The sequence below is a fragment of the Homo sapiens genome, chromosome 2, assembly GCF_000001405.40.
Source record: "Homo sapiens chromosome 2, GRCh38.p14 Primary Assembly".
NCBI lineage: Eukaryota > Metazoa > Chordata > Mammalia > Primates > Hominidae > Homo > Homo sapiens.
Window position 1 is genome coordinate 47646127 of NC_000002.12, and position 17463 is coordinate 47663589.

At 47.3% G+C, this 17463-nt stretch overlaps 1 protein-coding gene across 18 annotated transcripts in view, besides 2 other annotated features; it reads left to right on the plus strand.

Annotated features, from left to right (window-relative positions):
- MSH2 (mutS homolog 2) overlaps nt 1-17463 on the plus strand; it is a 306764-nt gene that overhangs the window by 243060 nt on the left and 46241 nt on the right. For 6 of the 18 annotated variants that reach the window (NR_176248.1, NR_176246.1, NM_001406633.1 and 3 more), the window contains one exon: nt 14847-14988. The exons of 4 other annotated variants lie outside the window; for them this stretch is intronic. Coding sequence is in view for 8 of the 14 variants with exons in the window: in NM_001406633.1 (NP_001393562.1) it covers nt 14847-14988 (142 nt within the window). In the remaining 6 variants the exon portion in view is untranslated. Of the gene's footprint in view, nt 1-11073; nt 11167-12905; nt 13131-14841; nt 14989-17244; nt 17357-17463 lie in introns of all 18 variants that reach the window. 8 more of the 18 variants (NR_176247.1, NM_001406632.1, NR_176241.1 and 5 more) reach the window with 5 other exon arrangements.
- Nucleotides 12188-12247: an enhancer, noted in NCBI's record as "active region_15735". NCBI's record gives its function as "activates an Ori minimal core promoter by ATAC-STARR-seq in GM12878 lymphoblastoid cells {active_cell/tissue: GM12878}" and the evidence as "EXISTENCE:reporter gene assay evidence [ECO:0000049][PMID:35858748]".
- Nucleotides 12378-12427: an enhancer, noted in NCBI's record as "active region_15736". NCBI's record gives its function as "activates an Ori minimal core promoter by ATAC-STARR-seq in GM12878 lymphoblastoid cells {active_cell/tissue: GM12878}" and the evidence as "EXISTENCE:reporter gene assay evidence [ECO:0000049][PMID:35858748]".

Below are 17463 nucleotides of genomic sequence, written 5' to 3' on the forward strand. Positions count from 1 at the left end.
GGTGGCTCACGCCTGTAATCCCAGCACTTTGGGAAGCCGAGGCAGGCAGATCATGAGGTCAGGAGATCAAGACCATCCTGGCTAACACAGTGAAACCCTGTCTCTACTAAAAATACAAAGAATTAGCCAGGCGTGGTGGCGGGTGCCTGTAGTCCCAGCTACTCAGGAGGCTGAGGCAGGAGAATGGCGTGAACCTGGGAGGCAGAGCTTGCAGTGAGCCAAGATCGCGCCACTGCACTCCAGCCTGGGTGACAGAGCGAGACTCCATCTCAAAATAAATAAATAAATAAAATTTAAAAATAAATAAATAAATAAAAAGGGCTTGGGTCTAGGGGTTCACTCTCTTGCCTTCTCTTGACCTTCTGCTTTTCTCCATGGGATGGTGCAGAAAGAAGGCCCTTGCCAGATGACAGCCCCTCACTCTTGAACTTCCTAGCCTTCAGAAGCCCAGAGAAGATATATAGCCACTTAATCACTGTGCATTCATTCATCCAATAGTAATTGAGCACCTACTCTGCCCTAGGCATTGGGCTTAGCCTTGGCCACACAGCAGTGAGCAACAATGGATATTCTTTTTTTGTTTTTTTTTTTTTCTTTTTGAGACAGAGTTTCACTCTTGTTGCCTAGGCTGGAGTGCAATGACATGATCTTGGCTCACTGCAACGTCTACCTTCTGGGTTCAAGTGATTCTGCTACCTCAGCTTCCCAAGTAGCTGGGATTACAGGCCTGTGCCACCACACCTGGCTAATTTTGTATTTTTAATAGAGATGGGGTTTCACCATGTAGGTCAGGCTGGTCTTGAACTCCTGACCTCAAGTGATCCACCTGCCTTGGCCTCCCAAAGTGTTGGGATTACAGGCATGAGCCACCATGCCTGGCCTAACAATGGATATTCTTAACTGCCTCGTGGGGCACACAGAAGTCAGGCACAGCTGCTAAGCAGATGTTAACAGGACCACTTGGAACCAGTGGGAGTTGCTGAGAAGTAGAGGTGGGGTTATTGGTCACAGGAAGGGGTATGTCTTAGTTCATTTTGTGCTACTGTAACAGAATGTCTGAGACTGGGTAATTTATAAAGAACAGAGTTTTATTGTAATACAATTCTGGAGGCTGGGAAGTCCAAGGTTTAGGGGCTTACATCTGGCAAGTGCCTTCTTGCTGCATTATAACATAGCAGAAGGCATCACGTTGCGGGTGGGGAACATCCACTTCCAAGATGGTTCCTCACATGCCTGCCAAGTTAGTGCTGGTTGCTGCCTAGCGGCCTCAGTTCATCACCACAAGAACTCCACAGGGCTAAGTGTCCTCCTGACATGGTGGCTATATTCCTCCAGAGGAGGCAATCCAAGAGAGCACAAACTAGAAATCACAATGTCTCATATGACCTAGCCTTGGAATTCAATTCGCACTATGTCATTTCTGTAACGTCCTGTTGGTTACACAGATCGACTCTACTCAATGAGGGAGAGGCCTATACAGTGGTATGAGGACCATGAGGTGAGGATCACTGGGGGGCCATCCTAGAAGCTGGCTACCAAGGGCTCAGGTGTCATGCTCTGTATGTAAGTATGAATTCAGAGGAGGGAACAGTCTCTGGGATAACTAGGATTGGTTTAATGAAAGAGGTTGACTTGCTCTGTATCCTGAAGGGTAAGTAGCAACTGGAGAGTTGTCCGTGGATGAAGGGACATCAGTCCAGGAGGGAGCACAGCATGAGCAAAGGCATAGAGGCAGCAACGGGCATCGTGAATTGTGAATCAGAGAGGAGAGTGGAATGGCTGGAGCAGCAAGTGCACGTAGTAAAGTAAAGGTAATAACACAATGGAGTTGGGTGACATCAAAGTTAAGAGGGCTTTGGAAGCCAGGCAGTGGCGTTCAGTTTTGATGGGTTGTTAAGGATCAATGATGAGTGCTACAATGGTCATGATGATGAAAGTGGTGCTTCAGGAAGCATAATCTAGGGACAGCATATAGACACCTCAGCCTGGGGAGAGACTAAAGGCAGAGGCAGGAGCCTTGACCTTATGAGAAGCTGAATTAAGATACTGGAATTAAGAATGGAAAAGGAGTGGGGCGTGGTGGCTCATGCCTGTAATCCCAGCACTTCGGGAGGCCAAGGCGGGCTGGTCACTCAAGGCCAGGAATTCAAGACCAGCCTGGCCAACATGTTGAAATCCCATCTCTACTAAAACTACAAAAATCAGCTGAGCGTGGTGGTGGGTGCCTGTAGTTCCAGCAACTAGGGAGCCTGAGGCATGAGAATCGCTTCAACCTGGAAGGTGGAGGTTGCAGTGAGCTGAGATCATGTCTCTGCACTCCAGCGTTGGTGACAAAGTTAGACTCTGTCTCAAAAAGGAAAAAAAAAAAAAGAATGGAAAAGGAGGCAGAGTTTTAAGTGTTACTACAAATGAAGAATTGACACTACCCCCAATAGACTGGGACCCGGAGGCTGGGATAAGATGGATTGAAACTCACTTTCTCCATGGTCAAAATGGAGAAGTAGCACTTGCTGTGTTCACCTCCTGGAACTGAGCTGAGCATCACATGAGACAATGGCTGTGAAACCACTTGGATAGGAGAGAAGTTTTAAACACCAAAGGGATTATTGTTATATGAATGATCCACTTGTAGATAGTACTTATTTTAGGACTGAGGGAGGTAAGGTTTGGGGAAGAATAGGGCATATCTGTGAACATGTCTGCCCAGCTCCTCCTCCCTCTAACCTTCCAACCTGATGGATCTCAAACCTAACCCAAATCTTCCCCCCTTTCTTAGTCTTTGCCCACCTTTCTCCCAATGACCCAGCTTCAATCTGGGCACCTGACTCCAGGTATCTTAGGGATCTGAAATGTTCTTTTTCACTCTACTCTACTACAAGCACACAATAGTCAGAAGACTGTGCCAGGGAGTGTGTTTGCCCTGGCTAGCTCTGGCCAGTTACTGCTATTGGCTGCGCAGCTTGGGAGACTGGGTCATGTGGGGCCTGAAGCTGTACCAGAAATGGCCTAGTCAGGAGACACTGACCCAACTGGTGGGCTCTGACCTGCAGTGTCTTAATCTTCACATCTGTCTAATGTCTTCTGGCCCACTCAGTTCCTTGCCAGAAGTTAATCTGCAGTGAAAACAAAGCTGTCTCCTCTTCACTGTGCTCACCCTTCACTGTCCTGTGTTATGCTATAGACTGAATGTTTGTTTGTGTCCCCCACAAATTCACATGTTGAAACCTAATCCCCAAGGTGATGCTGTTGAGGTGAGGCCTTTGGGAGGTGATTAGGTCATGAGGGCAGAGCCCTCATGAATGAAATTGGTGGCCCTATAGAAGAGACCCCAGAGAGCTCCCTCACCTCCCTCCACCATGTGAGGACACAGTGCAAAGACAGCCGTCTATGAACTAGGTTACAGGCCCTCACCAGACACTGAATATGCTGGTGCCTTGATCTTGGACTTCGCAACCCCTAGAACTGTGAGAAATCAATTTTATTGTTTCTAAGCTACGCAGGCTATGGTATTCTGTTACAGCAGCCTGATTGGGCTGAGACCTGTTAACCATGATGAGATTCTGGATTTATACTGCCCTCGTCATTTCCAATACTTTCACAAACATTATCATGAGGGCGTGTATAGCAAAGGTTAGCACTGTTATGCATGGGTTGAAATCCCAGCTTCCCAACTTGCCAACCAATTACTTTGTTCTGCAGGCCTTGGTCTCCTCATCTATGAAATGGGATAGCAATAAGCCTTACCTCTGTGAGTAGCTGTGAGGATTGGCTGAGGCTCCCTGGGGTGCCTGGAGCGTCATGGCAATGGGGCAAGGCCCTCCACTCAAAGTGCCTGTAGGCTGGTTGGAGAGATGTGTGAAAAGAAAAAAGTTGGCTTTTTTGGGCTGCCTGGGCTTTTGTTAATAAATTTCCAGTGGGACGTTTCCGCACTTGCCTTTTTTTAGAGACATGAAGAGAGGAGAATTGAAAACATTTCCTATGTTGAAATGAAAGGCACTATTTAATCTTGTCACCATCTGCCTTGCTCCAGGCTGGGAGCCCACAGGCCCGGCTCCCTGTTTCCTAGCGACAGGGCCGCACACCTTTCTTGGTGCAGCAAAACGCACACCTTCCCCGGTGGAGAAAAACATTCCCTAGGCAACTGCAGGGAAGGCTCTTGCGCAGGGAACTGGGAAGGAGCTGCCCCAGACCACAAGTGTGGCCCAGCCTTCCCTGGGCATTTTTCTCCAACCAAACAGGACACCCTATTCTCCCTTCCCAGAGCCACACGGCAGCAGGGGCAGCCCTTAATTGATTTATGAAGTCCTTGAAGTGACCCTCAGTGCCCCAAGTCCCCTCTTCTTCCTCAGCAAAGGTTTTGGGGCTGCCATAACAAAATACCACAGATTAGGTGGCTCACAATGACAGAAACTTATTTTCTCTCAGCCGTGGAGACCAGAGGTTCAAAATTAAGGTGTCTGCAGGTCTGGTTCTTTCCATGCCCGTCTTCTAGCTCCTGGTGGCTCCACCAATCCTTGGGGCTCCCTAGCCTGAAGGTACATCGTTCCAGTCTCCTCCAGCATCACGTGCCTTTACTCTCTGTGTCTCCTGTCCTGTCTCTCTCTCTCTGTCTTTTTTTTTTCTTTTTTTGAGACAGTGTCTCGCCCTATCCCCCAGGCTGGAGTGCAGTGGTGTGATCTCGGCTCACTGCAACCTCTGCCTCCCGGGTTCAAGAGATTCTCCTGCCTCAGCCTCCCAAGTAGCTGGGATTACAGGCACATGCCACCATGCCCAGCTAATTTTTGTGTTTTTAGTAGAAATGGGGTTTTGCCATGTTGGACAGGCTGGTCTCAAGCTCCTGTCCTAAGGTGATCCACCCGCCTCAGCCTCACAAAGTGCTGGGATTACAGGTGTAAGCCACTGCACCCGTCTGTCATTGGATTTAGAACCCACTCAAATCCAGGCTGTTCCCACCTTGAGATCCTTACTGCATCTGCAGAGACCCTTTTTCTAAATGCAATCACATCCTGAGGTTCTGGATGGATATAATTTTTGGAAGGACCACGATTCAACCCACTGCAGGGGCTATCATTTTACCTGGACTCCTCCTGTCTGGGAGAAAAGATTTAATAAGCTACTGGGAGAGATAGTATGTGGGATACACCTTCATCCATGGCCAAGGGGTGTATATTTTGAAAGTGGGTCTCAGGACAGGGGAACACCCTAACCAAAGAGGACGTCACCCACTTGGTAGAGTATTAGGTATGGTGATATTTTCTGGCTGGTGCCTTCCTGGTTATCTTGCTGCTCATAGAGAACCAGCCATGCCCTGTGCAGCTGTGTAAACAGGAGAGGGTCACCAGCATGGTTCTCCTAGCGGGGAGGCTCCTGTGCCTCTGTCTGCTTCCTGCAGGGCTCTGTCGAAGCCCTTCTTCCTCTGGGGCAGGGTGCCGGTCACTTGAGTGCCCCACCGGTGGTTCTGGCCCACTTGGAATTGGGTGTGTAAGGGGCTCTGGAAAGGACTGCTGCTCTTGACCTTCCCATTTGCTGACAAGACAGCAGCCTGCAAATCCAAGTGGGTCCCCAGTTCCCCAAATATCCCTCGAACTGAGGGCTAAAATCTGGCCATCTGAAATCCATGTCTTTTTGTTCTTATTTTTATTTTTTAAAATGTCATTTGCAAAAACAAAACAAAACAAAACCCCGAAAACACCCCACAAAATGATCACATGTGTTTATTTTTATTTGAACAGGTATTACATTCTTATAGTTCCAGATTCAAAAGGAACAAAAGGATATTCTGTGAAAATTCTCCCTCCCACTCCTGTCTCTCAACCACCTGGTTTAGCTCTCCAGAAACCATCAATATTTCAGCTTTCAGTATTTTGTATTTTCCAGAGATATATGTACAGTCATATATTTTCTTTTCCCCTTCTTCTCTGCATAAATGACGGCTACTATACCTAGTTTTGTAACTTGCTGTTTTCACCTCACAATATTTTCGAGGGTCTTTCCATATCAGCCAAACACAGCCTGACCGTATTTGTATTAAGCTGCAGAAACATCCATTGATACTCCAGTTGATAATCTATTGCTGTGTGAGCATTACCCAATCCCCTACTGATGGATACATAGACTGTTTCCCTATGTTCCCTGCGGCAATGAATAACTATATATGCTCAGGTCATGCATGTGTGGGAATAAATCTATAAGGATAATTGCTAGAAGTGGCATATCTGGGCTTCCCCTCACTCTGCCACAGAGCTTTCAGGCCCTGGACTACATGGCACAGCTTCCAAGGACCCGGCTGGTTTATTTTAAGATGATACGTGCTTGATAGTGCATGAAGGTGGAAATGTGAAACCCACTTTGATGTGGTAGTTACCATTGCGGCGCATTAACGCTGATGTGATTCAAAAGACCATATAATTTTTATGCTGCTATTAAACCTGCCACAAGCTGAAGCCTTGCCTGGTGCAACGTCTGTGTCGAGGCACCTCAGGGTGGACTGGTGCTGGGGATGGCAAGCCTGGGTCCTAGCTCCAGCTCTGCTCCATGAGACAGGGCCAAGTCACTCACCCTTCCTGAGACAGTATGTTAATCCCTTGCAGAGCTTACTGCAAGCCATGCCCCTAGTAGCAATCACATTGCATTTATTAATAGAGCAGGGTGGACAGATCTGTGGGGCCTGGCCCTGCAGACCCAGAAGGTGGAGGAGAGCTTCTGTGGAGCTACCAGGTACAGGTGGAGAGGGCAGGTGTCTGTGAGGATTTTCTGCCTAGAGGGAGATCTTGGATATTGACAACGAACATTTTCCGGGTACTTTACAAAGTGCTTTCTCGTACACTTTCTCAGTTAATGTGAGCTTCCGTCAGAGTCTTCGTTTCAGCAGATTTAAGCAGAAAAAGTAATCTAGAAAGTATTTGGGGGTGTGGGTAGCTCACAGAATTGCCGTAAATTTGAAGCATGAAGCTCAGAAATCAGGTGGGAACCAAGGGAAGAGAAGGCAGCCAGAAGCACAAATCACTCCCCAGGAATGAGAAGGTGAGGACCACACAGCTTCAGACGCTGGATCTTACCATGGGCAGCCTGGCCACATCCCATGCTGGATACCTGTCAACGCCAGATGACCTGTCACCGCAAACTGTCATCCCGTTGCCCCCTCAGCCACCTCGTGGGCCTAAGGGGCCTCCTCTGTGCCTGCTTTTTTATATTACTCACTCCAGAATTAATAACCCTCCTGCCCAGATCCCCAAAGTAAGGCCTGGATCATAGCTGGCACCTTGACTATCAGGGAGGTGGAAAAAAGTGGGTGTCCTTTTCAGCCTACAATGTGCCCATAAAGAGTTCTAGAGAAGGAATCTTCAATCCTATGGAAGTTGGATTGGATGTAGGGCAGAAAAGGGCAACTGTCTACAACCAGCTTGCATGAACACCTTGGAGTCTGGGTTATTATAAACTTATCCTACTTATTGAAGGATGCTGGGGGAGGGGGCTTTATATGAATCAGGGCTACTGAGATCTTTATATCGGGACCTCTGTGCAGCTCTGTCCTGACAACGTCACTTATTGCTCACGATTGGCATACCATTAGGGGATTGTTGGCCATCCCCTCTTCCCTCCATTCTTTCCTATGGGGCTAAAGGCAGGGAGGTGGGTCTCAAGTGGATGTGAGACCTAGAGCACACTCCCACATCCACTTGAAACTCATAGCCCTTACACTGTCATAGTCGTCCCTTTAAACCATAAAATAATGCTCTGTTTGTTTGTCCTTTGCAAAATATTTGCTGGGAAACAAAGACCTTCAGTAGAAGCACAAGATTTTAAAGAGAGGAATGAAAGATGTAGCGAGGGGAAAAGAGCCAGGCTGGGAGGTGCACAGTTCACGCTGCATGGTTCAGCCTCAGTGCCGTGAGCTCTGTGCACGAGGACAGTGCTGAGCAAGGCATGCCTGTGTCCCCACTGGACAGCTGAAGAGACTCAGGCAGAGCATGGACAGACCTAGTTCAGAGCCTGGCTGCACATAGTAGGCCCTCAATGAGAGGTGATGATGATGGTGGTGGTGACGGCAGAGCGAGGACTCACTTTGTCCAACGACTACATATTACAGATGTCAGGTTCACGACTATGCCAAAGGTCATGTTGAGGTCCAGAAGGAGTGGGTGGATGAGCAGAAAGAACATTCAGGGGACTGTAGGCAGGTGAATGATTTTATTCAGCAGCAGCTCACATCAGCAGCTTTCTCACACTGTCTGCCTTGTCTGGGCTGCTTCAGCTGGCAGCTCCCACATACAGCTGTGTGACCGGCTCTCCCCTGCCTTCAGGGTCAGCAGCTTAACTCTTTCACTCTCTGGGCACTAGGGGGCCAAGCTGTGTCCTGGCTTTCCCCGTCCGTCTCCAAAAACGGACATCTCTGGCTCTGTCTCTTTCTCTGGGCACCAGCGCACCTGCACAGGGTCAACAGGGCAGTTGTACCTTTTACAGACAATAGTGGCATAGAGCCAAGTGATGACGTTCCCACGTTATAGCTACATGGCTGTGATAACAAGTGGAGTTATACGCCTGCGGTCTATGCTGAGTCACGTGGGATGTAAACATCCTACCTTGGCCTAACCTTGACCAAAGCACAGCCATGTTCCTTACAACAGATAAGGAAGCCAAGACACAGAGCGAGGGCCAGCGAGCTTTCCGGGGTGATCAGTAGGAAGGGGCAAGAAAGGGTTAAATCGTGGCCCAACACGCTTGCCACTGCAGCTAGATGCTGACACAGGTGATGGTAACAAGGCCCTAGAACTCTAACGGGAAGATGAGTCATCGGGGGGGGGGTCATTAAAATGCAGGCTCTGATTCAGTAGGCCTGGGGGCATTTCCAACCACACCTGGGGGCTGCTGGTCCCAGGCTGCACTTTGAGGAGCTGGGCTCTAGCAGCAGTTTGCCTCCCTGGGAGCACATTAGAATCACTTGGGGAGATTTCACAAATTACTGATGCTTGAGACCCGAGATTCTAATTTAATTTGAGGTGGTTACAGGGTCAGAGGTCGTTTTTAAAGGTTCTCAAGTGTGTCTTATGTACAGTCAAGTTGAGAAGGGCTGTGTGAGTGGCTTGAAAACCATTGGTCGCCTGTGAAGAGGGCTTTTGAGAGCACCTGCAAGGACCGCCTCTCCTTCCTTCCAGCTGCTGCTTTGCTTGTGGGGCAAAGGCTCTCAGTCCGCAGTTCCAGCTAAGTTTAAATATGCAAATACCTCCGAAATGGCAAAGGTGAGGGCTTCTCTGAAGCGTGGCTCCTCACAGCAGGGCCTTCCACAATGAAGGGAAAGTGTACACAAGTGGGCTAGAGCAAGGAGGTAGCCTCCACGACTGCACACTTCTGCTGCTGGCCAAGTGACCCCCAGTTTAGGAGATATGACGTTTGGTGAGCACACGTCAGGACTGACCTGATTGAGGTTTGATACCAGAAGGCTGGAGAAGGGGTGCTGGCACAGAAAAGATGCAACGAAGGAGACTCCCCAGGTAGTCCTGTCTCTGGTTCCTTGAGTTCTACCTTTCCCTCAAGGGCCTCTCTCTCCAGCCACTGCTGCCAGCATGACATTCTCCCAGGGGGCCTGGTTTCCCTTTAAGGTTGTGGCCTTAAAGTGATAATCCCACCCCAGCACACCTACAGCAGGCTGTAATTATCAAGGGGGTTGACATACCACTCAAATCAAAGGCAGAACCAAAAGAAGTAAGTACTCCAAAGGAAAGGACATGGACTGAAGGGCTCTGGTGGTCGGAGGAGGTAGGGAAATACACTATTCTATGTCTTCTTGGAAATTGACAAGGCCCATTAGCAGATTCAGGTTCTGGGAAGTCCTGTGGGAAGTAAACCCAATGAGCTTTGTTCACACTAGTGTCGCCGAGTTCATTTGGCCACGGAACCCTCTTATGGCAGAATAACTCTTTATGTCTGCAAGGCCTGCTTTGGAATTGTGGATCTACTTTCCTGGAGGCTCAGCAACAAGACTGCTGCCCAAATGCCTCCGATCTGGAGGTGCAGGTCTGGCTGGAGGCTGAGGTGTGGCCTTCATCACCTCTCAGCAGCCCTGCAGCCCAGAGAGCCCTCTGTGCCCTTCTTGGGGGACTCAAAAAAGTATAGGGCGCAGGAATGGAGCGTCCACTCCACCGCTCTTATATCTGACTGAGGTGTTAAGAGTATGAGCTGTGTCATCAGGGACCAGGCTTCAAGTCCTGGCTGTACTGCTTACTAGCTGTGTGGCCTTGGACAAACTTAACTCCTCTGGGCCTCTGTTCCCTCACTGGTAAAAAAGGAATCGCTCCTACCTCAGAGTGTTGTTGTGAGAACCAATGAGACAGCTTATATAAAGTACTTAGCACACTGCCTAGCAGATAACAGTTCATAAAATGTTTTTCTAAAATGTTTTGTTTGACCAAAGTAGTTGGCATGAAAAAAAAAACTTTTGTTGTGCCAGTCTCTCCCCATGCAATCCCACCTGTCCTTGGAGGCCAACGCCAGTGCGTCTCCCAGGAAAGCCTTTCTTGACTCCCTGACCCTCACGGAGTGGACCCTTCTCTGTGCATTTGACCATGCTCTGCCTTGCTCCTGGGCCATCTCCCTGAGGGTGAGGGGCCATGCTAGAGGAAGTCTAGGCTGCATAAATGCCGAAACAGTGGTGGATCTAGCACATGAAGAGTTGAGAGCCTGGGAACTAGGGGAGGTGTCCCTCCTTCTTGAACTGTGGGGCTGAAGGGGAACTGTCAGCCTTGAGTTTGCCTCTGAGGTAGCCCCTTTCTTGCTATGAAGAAACCTGTTGTGGTCATTTGACTCATTCTCTGTGTATGCAGCCCTGCATACTTTGGTGTTATTCCTGTTGCAAAAGTCCCGATACTTTTCTCCGTCACTGATGTTTTGTTTTGAGACAGGGTCTTGCTCTGTTGCCCAGGCTGGAGTGCAATGGCACAATTAGCTCATTGCAGCCTTGACCTCCTGGGTTCAAGCTATCCTCCCACCTCAGCCTCCCAAGTAGCTGGTACTACAGGCGCACTCCATCATGCCTGGCTAACATATTTATATTCTGTTTGTTTGTTTGTTTTTTAGAGACAGGGTCTCACTCTATTGCCCAGGCTGATCTCGCACTCCTAGGCTCAAGCAATTCTCCTGCCTTGGCCTCCCAAAGTGATGGGATTACAGGTATGAGCCACTGCACCTGGCCTGTCAGTAATTTGATTATTTTTTAAGATCAACTGGATGACCAGGTGCTCTCAGAGACTACATTTTTGTAGCCTGAAGTCAGTATTTATGGTTTCCGTATAAGGAGGCTTTGGAGAGACACTAAAAGACAAAAGTCAAAGCCCTGAATGCTGACTGCTGTGCACTGCCTGACGCCCCTGCACCACTGAGCGGGTGTGGAGGATGCAGGGTCTCCCTCTGAGATCCTGGCAGGAAGGGAAGCTTGCCTGAGTCTTGTCTTGCCAGGGACTCTGCTCTTTCTGGACAATTTCTCAGAGCTCTAGACCCCTTCTCTGGAGGAAGACCTTCATTACCACCCCAGCCCACCCATACCCCATCCCAGGGTGAATGGAGGCTGGAGCTGGTTTCTTCTTCCTCTGACAGTGTCAGCTGGGTCCCTGCTGCAGTGAGTACTGGAGCTGAGCCCAGTGGGGTCCAGGTGTGGTCTGAGGAGCCATGGAGGCACAGCAAAGTCATCTCCACATTCCACCCAGCCCCTTGTGGAGCAAGGCAGCTCTGCTCCCACCAGGCAATCAGGCAAAGATTCACTAAGTGGGATCCAGCAACTCAGCCACACCCAGAGGCTTCCATGGCTCCTATATTCCACAGGGCTGCCAGGGCACCAGGGGAGAAGGGGAATCCTGATCTGAGACCTGGCCAAGCTGTGTCATCTACTGCCTGTGTCCAGACAACATAAACTGTCTGAGTCCTTAGGCAGGGTCTTTTCTGAATGACGGTTCATCCCACTGAAGTCACTCCTGAGTGAGTCTCAGAATCATGAACAGAGGAATTGTGAAACCTGGTGACTCCCAGGGAGGTCAAATGTTTTGCCCCAAAGCCTCAGCTCGTTAAGGGAACTAGTGGGGTTGGAACTCAAGTCTCCCAAACATTTGGGTCTCTCCCTCTCACTGCCGCGGACTGTTGATGACCAGAAAGGAGACACTGTTTCCACACGGCCCCCACTTGAGAGCCCACACACAGGCAGGCATTCGTGTTAGCATAGCCGCCTCCCCTCCAGACCTGGAGTCCACATGTTAGGTATGAATACCCACATATGTGCACATGTGCACATTTCTTTCTTCTCTGCTTTCAAACAGCAGAGTTTGAGAAATGGAAACCAAGGAACTGCTTTGGTTCTTGATTTTCACTCTGTCCTCCTACCCAGCCTCCTACCCGGCCTCTACCCTCCTACCTGGGCCTGCAGTAACTGCTGCTGGTAACTTGGGGATTCCCAGAAGGGAAGGGGTTGGAGCTTGTATGTACCTTCTTCCCAGGGGAGAGGGGAGGGGTGATGTAGGCAACTTAGAGGAAAGTAAATGACTTGGGGAAAGATGGATGAGCCTAAGAAGAGTAGGTGACAGCCAGTGACAAAGTCTGTCTTGGTATGGTGTCTACCCCCTGTCTCCTGTCCTGTGACATGGGCCAGTATTCCCCTGGTTGATGAGATTCCTGGGGAGGAGACTCATGACCATGGTGTTCTGGTTGGAGGATCTGTCTTTTGGCCGATAAGGGGAGCTCAGAGAACGCCTCTGCCTGCATCTGCTGTCTCCCACGTGCCCTTGGTTGCAAGCAATCAACATACCAAAGTGGCATATTTTGGGGTGGCATTTCCTTTCCTAAACTCCCTCAAACCCAACTCCACCGTCTCCCCCTCCTGCCTGCCTGCTCCCTCTACCCTGATAAAATGATGATGCATTTAGAAGATGAACGATTGCCTGGACCCAAGTGGAACTGCAGAGGACACCCCTACCCAGACCTCCAGTCCCAGCCTGACGTCAGAGGGGATCCGGTCAGAGAGACCTAGTGCCGAGAGGAGCAGAGAGCCCCGAGGGAAGGCTCCAGGGCCCAGGCAAAGCCTTTTTGGCACTACCCCTGCAACACACATGGGTGCCCTGAGGCTGATGGCATTGTCCTCTAAGAGCCAGGTAGATCCCTTCCAGCATCTTGATTGGTGGCTGTCCTCAAGGGGTAACTTTGTAGCCTAGAGCAAGGCCAGGTTGTGATAGTCCTGAAACTTCACCATTAGTGCTTCTAGAGGCACATCTTCACCCCAGACTGTAAATGCACACCCATAGTCAGACAAAATAAGGAGTGTGCCCTGAGGAGACCCACACATGTTGGTAGCCTTTGCCTTGAGGCCCTGGCCATATCCCATGGGGCTGGCAACTCGGTGTACGGCTGCAAATGGGGAGGATTCAGCTTGGGTCAGGCAGAAGAGCATTTTTTTTTTTTTTTTTTTGAGACGAAGTCTTGCTCTGTCCCCCAGGCTGGAGTGCAGTGGTGGGATCTCAGCTCACTGTAATCTCCACCTCCTGCCTCCACCTCTAATTCTTGTCCTTCAGCCTCCTGAGTGGCTGGAATTACAGGTGTGCGCCACCACGCCCGGCTAATTTTTGTATTTCTAGTAGAGACGGGGTTTCACCATGTTGGCCAGGCTGGTCTCTAACTCCCAACCTCAGGTAATCCACCCGCCACAGCGCTGGCCAGGAAGAATATCATTTGATTGTACAGGGTTCTGTCCAGCAAGGCATGCCTCTAGATTTGGGGTGGGGGTAAATGTTCAGTGGATCCAAGAGCCTCAGTGTGGGGAGGTGATGCAGACCCCATCCCCCATTTAACGATTTCCCTAGGGCTAACCCCACGCACAACCCAGAGCATCAGATTTATATCTCAGAAGTTCAACTTTTACTGTACCTCACCACACGTGGCTTGCAGGTCATACATCATTGCCTTCTGTTCTGTTTCCCTTTGAAAAGGTCTATCTTTTCGCTTGGCTGGGATAACTGTCTCCTTATTTTTGTCAACTCCTGGAACTTTTTTTCCTGTGGCTCTAACTTTGCCGTTGTGGCCTGACACAGAAATGTTTCATCTTGAAGGTCTAGAAAAAGCAATGTTTTCTTCTAGCATAACTTGATTCTGTAATCTTGGCTTTTCCTGATATGTCGGAATTGTTCCATGTAACCAGGGGACTTCTCATGCTGTTACTAAGAGCTATTATGCCCTTCCTCAAGGTACTAGTTTTCTTGTTTACATTCCTTAATGTAGTGTATACACATAGCCCTAGACACACTCTGCTTGTGTCTAATTAAATTCAAGTACCTTTTTCATCAGGTTTGACTTCCCAGTTAGCTAAACAGTCTTCCCATAAGGAGAAGCAGTCACAGTACAGGCGGTTCTTCTTTACCTTTTTGGTAACTGGCCTAAAAAACACACACACAGTTTTTCCATTTTATCAAGATAATTCCAGCATTGTCTTTATTAGGTTGAGTACTTAGAAAAGCTGACCTGTAAAAGGGTTAAGGTTTTTACATCCATGTAACTTTCTGTATTGTTTTTAAGGTCTTTTGATGATCACTCTGGTTAAACAAATAAGTATTGTTTTATAATGACCTGTGATTCTGTTTTTATCAAGTGTTTGGAAACTTTTGACATCTTTGATAGGTTTCCCCAGCATCAAAATACTAAATTAAGTCTTTTTGGCCTAGAATTAACTTTGGCATTTTCAAGTTAGGCCCCTGGAAATCTTCAAAGAATGTATCTCTCATCCTGTAGAGATATTAAATGATTAGACTTATTTGGTAAATTGTATGGAATACAGATTATTTTTTCTTTTTCTTTTTCTTTTTTTTTTTTGAGACAAGGTGTCATTCTGTCACCCAGGCTGGAGTGCAATGCCACGATCTCGGCTCACTGCAACCTCTGCCTCCTGGACTCAAGCGATCCTCCTACCTCAACCTCCCAAGTAGCTGGGACCACAGACTCATGCCACCATGCCTGGCTAAGGTAAATTGTATGGGAGGAAATTGTCAAATGATAATTGATGCTAGATCTTCTTTCAGTTACATTTATTGATATAAATGTTCCCCAAATTATATAATGTTATAAAAATCTAAAATGTTATCAGTCATAATTTTGTTATGTTAAATCTTTTCTAAAGTTATATTTGTATAGGTATGTTATTAATGTGAATATTCTAATGATTATATTAAATTTATCAAAGTCTTGACGATCCTGATGTGATATGGTCAGTCATAATTCTGGTTGTTATCTTAAAATGCTGCACATAATAGAAATAATTAAATTTCTTTGTCAGTTGAACACTTTCATAGATTTAACCATGGCTATTTTAAGTTGTCGTCATCCACAGCTATTTTATTTTATTTTATTTTATTTTATTTTATTTTATTTTATTTTATTTTATTTTATTTTATTTTTTGAGACAGAGTCTCACTGTTACCTAGGCTGGAGTACAGTGGCACAATCTCGGCTCACTGAAGCCTCTGCCTTCTAGATTCAAGAGATTCTTGTGCCTCAGCCTCCCGCGTAGCTAGGATTAGAGGCACGTGCCACCATGCCTGGCTAATTTTTGTATTTTTGGTAGAGACATGGTTTCACCATGTTTGCCAGGCCAGTCTCAAACTAGCCTCAAGTCATCTACCTGCCTTGGCTTCCCAAAGTTCTGGGATTACAGGACAGGTATGAGCCACCATGCCTGGCCTGTCATTCATGCTATTGTTTTAAATTCTTCTCTAAAAGCATTTGCAGTGATCTATAGTCCTAAATTGATTTTCATGAAGAATACTCTAATGGGTATTCCTGAATACAGATTTCTGATAACTTTAACATCAATGGACTAAAGAAAAACTTTCAGAACGCCCGGGCATGGTGGCTCACGCCTGTAATCCCAGCACTTTGGGAGGCCAAGGAGGGTGGATCACCTGAGGTCAGGAGTTCAAGACCAGCCTGGCCAACATGGTGAAACCCTGCCTTACTAAAAGAAATACAAAAAAAATTAGCCAGGTGTGGTGGCACGCACCTGTAAATCTCAGGAGGCTGAGGCAGAAGAATCACTTGAACTTAGGAGGTGGAGGTTGCAGTGAGCCAAGATCGCGCCACTGCACTCCAGCCTGGGCGACAGAGTGAGACTCTGTCTCACACACACACACACACACACACACACACACAAAATCGAGAGGATATTTCCTGTCATAGTTGAAGTGTGCACTGGCTTTAAGTTCCCTGCCTCTAGACCCTATTTTCCTGCCTCACCTCCTCCAACTTTCCATCCACCCCTGCCAAACTCTTTTCTTTCCTATTCCAGACCCTCAGTCACTTGAGCTTTTGGCTCCACTGATCTCAAGGGACTGAGGGTCCCCCAGGTCAACTCTCTGAAGCTGAAAAGGAAAAGGGTTAATTAGAAATAACTGGATATTTTATCCACTCAGATGGTCTTTGGAGACATTCAGACAGCTGCTAGAGTCTCCTCAGTAATTGCCTAAAATTTAGTCCACAGCCTCCATATGACCTCTGATAATAAGCAAATAACACCAAAACTCCTTCTGGGAGAAAATATATCCTTTCTCCGTGCCTTTAATATGTAAATTTTCTACCCTGTCTTCTCTAGGACCTAAGCAGCATCTTTTTGAGATGCAAATTTTGGGGAGAAGATGCTCAGAAGAAGGTGGGGGAGGGGAGAAAGCTATTTAGAAACCAACTGGCATTTTTAAAAATTTCAAGTCTTTACCACAAGTAGTAAAAAGCTTTATCCATCTGAGAGAGTAATCTTAACTTATTCCATCTGCCAGAAACATAATTTAGATCCAATTACTCTTTTATAAACTAGGGAGTTTTATGTTACGGTACCTGGCACATGGCTAAAATTTTTAAATAAAAACTTGAAGATTTCTGTTTGCATCTATCTGTTTATGTATATCTGTGTATGTATAGTATGCATATGTGGTGTTTTCTCTACCTCTGGATGGTACTGCCAAATACCAAACTCGTATTGAGTGCTCTTATGTTCATGGCAATAAAGTTATTTGTACAAATTCAATTAAAATCTGTTCTCCTTTTAACAAGATACAATTGGTAAAAGGCCTTCACTGGGATGTCATAGTTGAGAATGATGTGCATAGAATCAGATTTGACTAGATAAGTTTTAAGAAGCTAAGGTTAAATTTGTGGACTCAATAAAACCCCTTGGAAAAAAAAAATCCTGGTACTTTGCATGCAGGGTTCTTTTACATGATTCCCTTACAGGTGAGTAAGGCAAGTCACTTCCGGTCAGATCCAGGAACCTCAGGATAATTTGGGGACCTCGATAAGAGAGGAATTCACCCAGATCTATATGTATTACAGGGAAAATCTGACGGTAAGTCTATAACTTGGCTTCCTAGCCTAGAGTGACTTTTAAAATTATACTCTAAGATTCCTTATGAGAAGTTCTAGCAAAGCAGATTTTAAAAGAGCATATATGAT